General features: G+C 37.8%; 1 protein-coding gene across 12 annotated transcripts in view; it reads left to right on the top strand.

The window, feature by feature from the left end:
* CASK (calcium/calmodulin dependent serine protein kinase) overlaps window positions 1–12032 on the top strand; it is a 408621-nt gene that overhangs the window by 363162 nt on the left and 33427 nt on the right. For 5 of the 12 annotated variants that reach the window (NM_001410745.1, NM_003688.4, NM_001367721.1 and 2 more), the window contains 4 exons: window positions 546–614; window positions 3293–3361; window positions 4758–4793; window positions 6478–6674. In NM_001410745.1, the coding sequence (NP_001397674.1) occupies window positions 546–614; window positions 3293–3361; window positions 4758–4793; window positions 6478–6674 (371 nt within the window). The remainder of the gene's footprint in view (window positions 1–545; window positions 615–3292; window positions 3362–4757; window positions 4794–6477; window positions 6675–12032) is intronic. The other 7 variants (NM_001126055.3, NM_001126054.3, XM_011543995.3 and 4 more) reach the window with 3 other exon arrangements.

The raw sequence follows: 12032 nt of genomic DNA, 5'->3' as shown, positions 1-12032 counted from the left end.
ACCCGGGAGGCTGAGGCAGGAGAATCACTGGAACCTGGAAGGCAGAGTTTGCAGTGAGCCGAGATGGTGCCACTGCACTGCAGCCTGGATGACAGAGCGAGACTCTGTCTCAAAAAAATAAATAAATAAAAAATTTTTAAAAGTAAAAAGCATATTCTATGGGGTACACCATTATAATGTGGCATACTCAATGTAATTTTTATGTAATTACCTAGTCTATTGTCTAATTCAATGTATATTCACTTTTGAAAGGCATGTCACTTAGAAAGTTTTGTATTCACATCTATAAAAAGGTGACCATTGAAGATCTGTGAGACCATTGCTGTATGAGCAAAAGGCAATTGGCTGCTGGGCTTTTCCCAGGAACTTACTCTACTGTTAACTCGAGCAGTCCCTGCTTCATGACTACATTTCATTTTCCGGCTATGTGCTCTCAGATGGCTTGTGCTAATTGCCCCCATGTGTTTTGAGTGGCTTCTTACATGGTTTTGTGAACAATTGTTTGTAAGAAAACTTTTCTTTCTTTCCCACCACCCCCCCTCCAGAGGGAAATGCGGGGGAGTATTACCTTCAAGATTGTGCCAAGTTACCGCACTCAGTCTTCGTCCTGTGAGGTAATGACTCTAACAAACCACCCCCATCTGCTCTGAGTTCTTAACTAACTGTCTGCTGATGGCTGTATGTTTTTGCTTTCTGGGAAATTGTTTCTGCCTGTGCTGTTAGATCACTGCACACCAATTTTACAACAAAGATAACGGAACAGAGTAGGTCCCATCCACCTACTCAGCCCTGCTTCCATGTGGATCTCCTCAGCACTTTGAACTTTTTGCAGGCTGAAATCTGAGCAAAATGTAGAGAAGTTACAAATGATGACATAAGGCTTAATAAGGAAAAAACGGAGTGTCTGAGGGAAAAAAACTAAAGGCCATAATTGCAGTAATATTTCCAGGAAGTTCATTCACTTCCCTTGTTAAGAAATCACATAGATAGTTCTTCTTTCTAAGGATCTGAGAAGTGATCTATTTCTGTTGAGATACAGTTGTTCATACAATTGTGACAGGTCTCTAGATGGAAGTTAAGTCTGCAATGAATTGATAATTGACTTCACTAGAGGGAAATAGGCTTTTGCAACCTTTTGTAAAACTGTTTAAATTTAGAATGGTATGTGATCTGTAAACAAGTAAGTTTTCTAGAGTAATACAGCCCCAAAGTTTCTTTCTTAAAATAGGCTTATCCTGTAGAAATTATAGTTCTTCCAACCTATATTATTCAGTTTTGTGTTGGTTGTTAAATGAGATTCAAAAATCTATTCTTTTTGTATTGGAAATATAAATGGGCATAAATGATATCATCCTTTGGTCATTGCACGTTCAGCTCGAGTGTTATTTATTGAAGCTTGTTCTTTCATGTGCATCTTCCGAGAGTATGTGCATCAATATGAAGTACACACTTCCTAAAGTTTATTTTTAAGACTGACAGGTAACTTATTGGATTTGTACTTAGGAGAACCTGAGAGAGAATTGTAATACTTCTAGTCTCTAGTGATGGTGTAAATTTCATAAGAAAAATCAGAGGCTTCATATTTTTTAAAAGCCTATTGAAGATACATATTAAAATGTATAGTTTTGTCAAGTATATTTTTGGTGAGCCATGGCAATTGAGGTGTCCGTTGTAACGGGTCTTGAGCTCCTCTTGGTGGCTTTTTATGGAACTTCAATTAATAGTATATTTCAAAAGAAAATGCAGAATTGCTTCTGTTCCAGGATTCAGAGTATTGAAATTTGTTACCTAGAACACAAACTTTGCTGGGAAACAAAGAATGTCACACTTAACATTCTATGTAAATAATTTTAATATTCCAGAGTTACAGATGTCCTTATATCATTTCTCATCTGTTGAAGAAATTTAGTAAATACAATTGACTTTTGTCTTTTTGGCTAACTAACCAGAAGGTACTGTTAGTTATTAATACAACATAAGTTTCTCTTTTTTTTTTTAAATGGTCGAACTAGTTTGGGGTGGAACCAGTATCATAGATGTAAATTCTATGTTCTTGAGTAAGAAGAACCCCTCTTACCTTCTTTGCCTTTGAATAGTAGAAAAAATAATGATACTTCTCTCCTAGCTCCACCTCCAGCCTTTTTGGCCCTCCTGTTCCCTGGCAGAATTCAAGCTTGTGGTTGGACTCTTCCCAGCTAGGGCAATACTTCAAAAAAAAAAAAAGAAGGCTCTCTGGCCACCTGCATCTGCATCCCCCAGGTCCTTGGTTAAAGAGTAGACCCCTGCCCCTCACCCTGGCTCTACTGACTTGAGTCTCTGCGGGTGGCACCTGGAGATCAGTCTTGCTCACTAACATATGAGAATGCTCTTCTAAGGGATCTCATTACCTTTAAGGCTGACAGGTTCTAGAAATGCTCTTAAGTCATCTGGGGAAAAAAAATGTCTTTTAAAAAGACATGCACATTTCTAAGGCTTAAAAGAACTCTACAGAAGCAAAAATTAAAAAGTACTTATTTCCTTCCTCTCCTTGTTCTTATCGTTAAAGTTGATTTGGACACTAAGGGAATGGAGCCTGGAAAATATTTTGAGTGTATAGAATAGTAGAGAGAAAGCAAGCGATAGAGGAGCCTGGATATAGGAAGAGTGGCTGTGGCTCCTAGGATCTTTGCTGGAAGTGTAATATTGTTATAGGCTTGAGATTATTGTTTTAATCAATCTGCTAAAATAGTCTTAAAAAAAGAGTTCTTCTCTGATGTATATCTCTTTTACCCTTACTAGTAATAATATTTATTCTATAATAGAAAGATTCTGAGGTGATTGTAACATGTGAAATCTTAGGTTTGTTTCTCTTCAGATTGGGTCAGTTAGTAACTCTTGACACAGGTACTAAAAATTATTAAATACTTTTCAAACCTAATCTTTAATAAAAATTAGGCAGTTGGGATCTTCAGCACGATAATTTATGGTAATGTTTGTCATCTTATACTTGATAGGGTTTTAATATCAAGTCACTCTTCTGGGTCTCATTAAAAGAAAGAAAAGGTATAGAATGTTAGAGATAGGAAAGAATTGATTAATGAATGACACAGTCATCACTTAAAATATGTGAGCCTTCGAACTGCAAAATTTTTTTCATACTTCTGTGAAATCATGCAAGCAAGTCAGTATGGCACCTATACAGCTCAAACCTCAAAGGAAATGGTTGTCAGACTGTGGTTGTTACTGTTGATGTAAATATCTCTGTGTTTCTGTGCTGGTGTTCTGTGTTAATGAACCTTGTGTCTTATTTCAGAGAGATTCCCCTTCCACTTCCAGACAGTCCCCAGCTAATGGTCATAGCAGCACTAACAATTCTGTTTCGGTAAGAACTTTAGCTCCACACAGCAAAGTGTGACAATTTTGTTGGTGCTCACCTGCCATGAGTGTTCTAGTTACATGTGTTCAGTGGAAATAGTGTCTTCTGCTGATATACAAGGCTACTACAGCTACAATGCACTTTACTCCTGGAAAATCTTTTTCAACATTTCCTTCTCATTAAAAATCCCCTTCAATAGTTAAATTTGAAGAAATATAGTTCAAGACTGCTTTGGTCATTCTAAAAATATTTCTATGCCACCCCATTTGTATGTATGACTTTGCTCAAACCTATGCAAAGGATGTAAACGGAAATTTGTTTAAACTTCTAAATATTTTTTAATTTGAAAAAGATAAATGTAAGAATTTTGCAGAGTAGGCATTTGGGTATTCTTGGGCTTTGTAGTTTTCTATTCTGAGTGATATCAGCAACATGTTTTAGTTTCCGCTATCTAAGTTTACGAATTGGTGTGCCCTCTGTTATTGTGGTACGTGCACATATTTTTGTGAATTATAAGCCTTGCCTGGATATGAAAAGCAAAAAGAACTGGCTTCAAACTGCACTTAAGCCACGCTGTTATCACATCTTTAACACAAAGTACTTTATATTTGACTTGAACTTGGAGTTTTAAATTTTTTCAGAACTATCCATTTTGGAATATAGAAAGAATTGTTTTTAACTTATTTAAACAAATGGAAGCACTTAACAGGTGCAGACTGGCAATATTTTGGTTGCTAATACTGCTGTTTATGACCCAGTTAAAATTATTGAGAGTTCTAATAATGCAGCAGTATTCTTCTTTCCTGACTTTTAATTTGCCCTTTGAGAATATATCAACTTTTTTATCAGGTAAAATTGTAAATAATTTAGAAATTATCTCAAATGGAATGATATTCTAAGTATATCGTAAGAGAAATTATGAAAGAAAATTGTCTATGACTTTATTTTCAACTTTAAAATAGGCTACCAAAGGAATTCATTCATAACAGTTAACATTTAATACTTTTAAGATGATGAAAAGCCATATAGCCATTGAATTTTTCAAAATCTAAATGGTTGCAGTGACTAAGTTGAAAAGGGCAACAGCTCCTTTTATTTATTTTTTTTTTTTAATAGGCTGTTTCACTTGCAGTGGCTTTTGTGTTGAAGATGCTGAGTTGTTTCTTAAGAACACATTTTCTCTCTGCTTAAACTTACCTGCTTTCTTCAGCTTGCTGCTAAATGGCCTGGGTTTGACTTTTTGATAACTCAACATTTCTGATAAATGGAATAATGTATATTATCTCTTTACAACTTAAATCTAGCTCATTTTTTTAACCATATTGTAACAGAACACACAAATTACTTTGTACTCTTGAAAAATAAATGAAAATTTTTCTCCTGGGTTGGCTTTATTCTACAGGACTTGCCATCAACTACCCAACCAAAAGGACGACAGGTGAATAGATATCCTCTATAGAAACTTCTCTAAACTGAGCAGCTAATAGCCAATCCTTTATTAACCCTTTCCATCCCATAATGTTTGCATTTTGGACCATAACATTTGAGCATTGAGAGCTTGTACCATTTCATTTTAACACATTACACATGACTAATTCTCTATAAAGAATTTTTCCTCACATCTTTGTAGCTGTAATGGTTATTGTAATTTCAACCTGATAATTTTATATTAATGGTTAAGAATTCAGCCTTTGGGGGTGGCTGTGGGCCTGCCTCTGGCATGCAAAAGAATTTTAAAGGTTATAAAATTCTTAGAATTCTAAGACTAACTAAAAAGTTATTCTTAAAATGCTGATGAACATTTTTAAGCAAAAATTTTCTGAAGTTGAAAGCTTTTTCTTAAATTTGTATTTGCATGTGTATTTCTAAAAGCCATTTGCAATGAAAAATAAGAAAAGAATATAAATTATCTTAGCTTCACATCCTGATATACCTGTGTTAGTTCAAACATGAAAAGTTAAGTGCTGCCTAACACTGGCAAGTAACTTTCAAATTGCCAGCACTTTAGAGGTATAGATTTTAAATGCAAATGCAGAGACTTGTAATTTTATAGGCTGGATTGCTGAAAATAAACAGAAAAATCACACAGTGGTTCCAAAGTCTTCAGGTTGGTTTTACAGTGACTTAAACATTAATATTCAATTTTAATTTCAAGAGATAGAATTTTTATGGGATTTTTATCTTGAAATATGGTATTAAAAATAATCAGATTTAGTGTTAAGATATGTATAAATTAGTACCTGATAGAATTCACCCATAATTTTGTCTTAAGACTGTATAATTGATGGAACATTGGGTATGAATTACCTTATCTTAAAGCATTTAAAAAATAAAATAATTCATAAAATGCTGCCATATAATAAACCCTTGAATGCTAATCTATTTCCTAAGTAAACTCACATATCATAAAACTCAGAGCCTTGAACTATGCATGTCTTGAAGCTCTGTGCTGATTTCAAGTGTTACATTGGGGGAAGCTAGGGTTCAAATTCATTTTTATTCTCTCAGAAGAGTAAAATACAAACCTAAAACCTAAATTAGAAAAAAATGAAGCTTTTTTTAACTTTTAAAAAATTGTTTGAGTTACACTTAACTTTATCAGCAATGTGTAGACACACTGCCAGTTGTCATATAAGCATTCTACAGCAAGATACCAACCCAGAGTTCTTGCTAATTTTATATCGTGTGCTGCTTTAGGGTTAAAACCTATCCTGACTGCTAGTATTTATGGCTTAAAGGCTGCCACGCAGTCATGACAACGTATCCATAATGCCAGCATCACCAATGCAGGTTTAAAAAAGAGCGAGCATACTTTTCTATAATTAGAGGCCTATTCTGTTACAGTAAAAGCATAAATTAAGTCTTTATTTTTATTAAACAAGTATTTCAAGTGTTCCTTCCAAATAAAAACAGCAAAGTTTTGAAGCTATACTCATCAAAGATTACTAGTACATTGTTTCTAGCGGTAGAAGTTTTTTGTGTCGTATTTCCATGCATCGTTTTTGCTTTCACCATCTGATGTCCTGTTTGTATTGTAACTGTTGGTGTGTGGTTATGACATTAGAGCTAACTTCTCTTTCACATCACTATGGCATCCTTTCTTACGAACTCCTGTTTTATAGATCTATGTAAGAGCACAATTTGAATATGATCCAGCCAAGGATGACCTCATCCCCTGTAAAGAAGCTGGCATTCGATTCAGAGTTGGTGACATCATCCAGATTATTAGTAAGGATGATCATAATTGGTGGCAGGGTAAACTGGAAAACTCCAAAAATGGAACTGCAGGTCTCATTCCTTCTCCTGAACTTCAGGAATGGTATGTTTTTATGCGTGTTTTGCTTTGCTTGGTTATAAAAACAAAGCCCTGACCATCCATTTTCCAATTTTATATTATTTTAGAGTGTAAAACCTGTTTGATATATTCCTTCCTTTACGAGCCAAACAAAATTTAAATTAGTCATCCAAGAATTCTATATCTTCAGTATCTAGTGAGATCCTAGTTGCAGAGTCAGGGCTTCATTTTACACAAAAAGAAAGGAAGGTCTGGAAAGAGATTGGATGAGCAGCCCTGAGCCAAGTCATGGTCTCACAGCAGAGCCCTCCACTCCTATATGCTGTTATAATTGTTTTAGAATGGCATTAAAAAAATGTACGTTCTCCTTGCCCTTCTACATGCTTTCATGCCCATCCCATTCCCACCACCAGCAAAAAATGTAGGTGCAGTGCTTCAGTGTCACTCAGAGTATTTGAAGATAAAATGTATTTCACTGTTAGAAGGAGGTAGTCAGAAGCTTTGTTCTTTACCTTGCCAGTCCTTTAAAAATACCTTTTCTGCTAGAAAGTTTAAGCCCTAAAAGCAGGCTAAAGTTAGGGGTTTTAGGCACTGTTTTTAACTGAGAGAAAAGGAGTCACAGATCACTGTATATTTTGATAAAATCTATTTCTGCTATTATTGTTACCGTTTCCTTAGTTGAACTGTCTTTTGGAAAATATTGATGGTTTTACCTTTGTTGGTACTTGGGCAATATACCAGATTATTTCTAGCACAAAAGAGATAATGTCTGAGTTTTGTTTCATGTGGCAAAAAATAACAGCCATTAAGCATCCTGCCAGTTCCTCCTAAAATACTTGAACCCAGCTAAAAGAGACCAAAGACATTGAGTCCATAGAAATTTCTACCTGCTTTTATCTATTTTTCTCACTAGTTAAGAGATTTCTCAGTTAATCTCTTTTGCTTGATCGCCTCTTTCAGCTATCCCATGTTTCCCCAAAAAATAGTATTAAATTTAGAATGTTGGAGCTGATGAGGACTTCAGATGCCATCATTTTATACATAAGGAAACGTGGGCCCAAATGGAGAAGCAGCAGCCTTCCATCTGGCATTGTCTTTCAGTCTGATCTTCGAGAAACAGTTCAAGCATAAGCAGGAGGAAAGCAATCTTTAAGTCGTTGCCGTGATGATGCCATTATATTCTTACTGATATTTACATTTTACAGAATGTCTTCTTTAATGTTACCATATATTATGGGCATTTATTGAAAATAATTGTGTAGATTCCAGACCTCTTCTGCCTAGTCAGATCATCTATATAAATGTTTCACCAATTTCTAGAACTCTGAGTCCTCTGGAGGAATCCTGAGTGATGGCAGTGCAAAAAGCAGATTTGCTTCCTATTTCCTGTAATGGTGGATGAGATTATTTGGATAAATCCTCCTGATGAAAAAAAATGAAAAGTGCCGCAGAAAATATGTTTTTCAAATGACCTTGAAAGCACTGAATAGCTGAAAAGGTATCAGGGGCCAGGCATGGTGGCTCACACCTGTAATCCTAGCACTCTGGGACGCCGAGGTGGGCAGATCACTTGAGGTCAGGAGTTCGAAGCTAGCCTGACCAACATGGTAAAACCCTGTCTCTACTTGAAATAAAAAAAAAAAAAAAAATTAGCCAGGTGTGATGGCAGGCACCTATAATCCCAGCTACTTGGGAGGCTGAGGCAGGAGAATTGCTTGAGCCCGAGAAGTGGAAGTTGCAGTGAGCCGTGATCGCGCCACTGCACTCTAGCCTGGACGACAGAGTGAGACTCTGTGTCCGGGAAATAAAAAAAGGTACTGGGGAGCTCAGTGACCAATTTTTTTTTTTTTTTTTTTTTTTTTTGAGACGGAGTCTCGCCCTGTGGCCCAGGCTGCAGTGCAATGGCATGATCTCAGGTCACTGCAACCTCTACCTCCTGGGTTCAAACAATTCTCCTGCCTCAGCCTCCTGAGTAGCTGGGATTACAGGCACCCGCCACCACATATTTTTAGTAGAGACAGGGTTTCACCATGTTGGCCAGGCTGGTCGTGAACTCCTGACCTCGTGATCCACCCACTTTGGCCTCCCAAAGTGCTGGGATTACAGGTGTGAGCCACCACACCAGGCCTCAGTGACCAATTTTTATGTGAAAGCCTTTAATAAGAATGATAAGTGGAATATCAGAGTTACCAAGTGGCCCATTTTGCAAACAGGGCATTTGTCATTACTGAACACTTCTGTGCCAGAGAACCAAGGTTAAGATCTAAGGCCAGTACAAGTTGGGGAATCTGTTAGAAGACCCTCCTCATTGTTAGGAGTGCAAGAGGCAGTCCCCCCAGGCTAAAAGGAAACAGATAAGCATACCCTTATTTCCCTTCAACACCGGAGGACTATAGAGAAAGCTGCCTTGTCACTGAGCAAAGCAAAAGATGAGGAAATTGGGAACAAACTTCCAAATTGTGGCCACCAGTCCACCTTGAATGGATTTGCACCCAGGTACACACAGCCTGGGGCAGCCAGGGGAGCTGAAGCCATGTACTTGATTTGAAGTTTCCCCTTTCTTTACTAATAGTTTCAGATGTATGGTATAAACAGAAAGTCTCTGAAGGCAAACACTTTTATCCTAACCCCCACTAACTTCATCCTATCCGCCCGACATAAACTTTTTCCAGGGCAGTAGCCAGCAAGTCAAAATTATCAGGCACACAAGGAAACAAGTAAGACCCAACAGAAATGACAGATAGTAGAAACAAACCCAAACCTACTGCATATATTGGAATTAAGAGACAAAGATTTTAAAAATAAGCTTACGAAGTTGGTTCGTTTGTTTTTGAGACAAGGTATTGTGCTCTCGCCCAGGCTGGAGTGCAATGGCATGATCATGGCTCACTGCAGCCTCGACCTCCTGGACCCAAGCAATCCACCCACCTCAGCCTTCCCAGTAGCTGGGACAACAGGCGTGCACCACCACACCCAGCTAATTTTTTTCTTTTTCTTTTTTTTTTTTTTGTAGAGATGAGGTCTCACTATGTTGCCCAGGCTGATCTCCAACTCCTAGGCTCAAGTGATCCTTCCACCTTAGCCTCCCAAAGTGCTGGGATTACAAGTGTGAGCTACCACGCCTAGCCCAGGTTTTTAAAAATCAATAATAAGCTTGTAAAATATCTTCAGAGAGCAGAAAAAAAATGTTAATGACATAGCAGATTTTAAAAAGAACCAGAGGAACATCCAGGGGGAAACATGCAGTAACAAAATTAGAATCTCAGTGGTCACACCTATTAGAATGGCTAACATTTTTTTGAAGTTTCATCAGTGGGTAAATAGATCAATAAATTGTGATATAGCCATACAATGGAATGCCACTCAGCAATAAAAAGGATCAAACTATTGATATATGCAGCAGTATGGATGAAACACAAGATCATTATGCTGAGTGAAAGAAGCCAGGCAAAAAAGAGAACACGCTATATGATTCCATTTACATAAACTTCTGGAAAATGCAAGATGGGGGTGGAGGGAGGGAGGAATTACAGAGGGGCATGAGGAAATTCTGGAGGTAATGAATATGTTTTTCTTTTTTTGGAGACGGAGTCTCGCCCTGTCACCCAGGCTGGAGTGCAGTGGCGCAATCTCAGCTCACTGCAACCTCTGCCTCCCCGGTTCAAGTGATCCTCCTGCCTCAGCCTCCCGAGTAGCTGGGATTACAGGCGCCTGCCACCACGCCTGGCTAATTTTTTGTGTTTTTAGTAGAGACAGGGTTTCACCAGGTTGGCCAGGCTGGTCTCAAGCTCCTGACCTCAAGTGATCTGCCTGCCTCAGCCTCCCAAAGTGCTAGGATTACAGGTGTGAGCCACCGCAGCACCCAGCCATTTTTATTTTTTATTTTTTATTTTTATTCTTCTAAAGTCAAGGTCCCTCTCTGTCTCCCAGGCTGGAGTGCCGTGGTGCAATCTTGGCTCCTTGCAGCCTGGAACTCCTGGATTCAAGCAATCCCCCTATCTCAGCCTCCCAAGTAGCTGGGATTACAGGCGCCCGCCACCACGCCCAACTAATTTTTAAATTTTCGATAGAGATGAGATCTCACTATGTTGGCCAGGCTGGTCTCGAACTCCTGACCTCAGGTGATCTGCCCGCCTCAACCTCCTAAAGTGTTGGGATTACCTGTGTGAGCTACCACACCTGGCTAAGAATATGTTTTTCTTGATTGTAGTGATAGTTTCATGGGATGTTTACAGATATCAAAACTGATAAATTTGTATACTTTAAATATGTTCAATATATTGCCAAAAAACTGAACTGTTAAAGTTGCAAAATATATAGAGGGAGAAAAGGATTCTAACTGAGATGATAAGAAAGAGGCCCACTGGGCAGTGTGTACCCCAAGACCTGAATAGGACTTTGGGGGTATAGGAAGCTATTCCTGGCAGAAGAGAAAGATCAATTTTCCTTTGCTTGGAAACTGAATTGGCCTCTGGGATGTCAGTGGGCATCCAATACTAACAAGAAAGATTTGAAACAATTGTATCAGCCAGACCCCCAAAACTTTGATCAAATATATTGCTACCAAGTCACATTCTTCACATTTTCTAGATGAGAAATCAGTTTTTTCGGACCCAAATGCCTTACTCTAGGCACATCAATTTAGCCCTTCAATATATTTTAGCTCCCGGACTCTGTCATCCCTCCCCTTGCCTTGCCTACAAGATCCTGATCTAAGCCATCAATAAATTGGTAGGCATGTGTTTGAAATTTCCTTCCAGGTTGACCTTAACCCTAACACGGTTTCTGTGCACTTACTGAGCTAAAAGAGCTAATGTTTATTTCTGCAGTGTCTGGTAAAAATCAATTTCATTCCTCTGTCATCACACCACATGAGACTATGCCACAATTTTTTCCTGGGAACCTGTATTTTTGTTTTAAGCTTAAGAACATTTATTATAAGATACTCTCTACATTGTAACATAAGCTTCACAAGGTCACACGATTTTGTCTCTTAACCTGTCAAAAAATTCCTCAATTCTGTTTGTTTCCAAAGATTCTATGCCTTTTAGTTCTGACTAATAGCACATATTGACTTGCACCAAAAGAATCCCCAAAGCAAGCCTTTATCAGCCTCCTCTGTATGCCACGTGGGTAATATATGGAGATGGACTTTGATACTATTACTGAGAGTTCGCAGTATTTTCCAATAAATGTCTTTCCCCCAACCAAAAATAAATACATAAAAACTTCAGTGAACAAGAGCGAGTAAGAGATATGGAAGACAGCCTCTTTAAGAAAATAGAAAATAATACTTCCCAAATCATTTTATGATGTCAACATTACCCTGATACCAAAATTCAGTAAAGGCAGTTCAAGAAAAGAAAACTACATACCAGTATC

Source organism: Homo sapiens, chromosome X, assembly GCF_000001405.40.
Source record: "Homo sapiens chromosome X, GRCh38.p14 Primary Assembly".
Lineage (NCBI taxonomy): Eukaryota > Metazoa > Chordata > Mammalia > Primates > Hominidae > Homo > Homo sapiens.
This window is presented reverse-complemented; position numbering and strand designations above follow the sequence as displayed.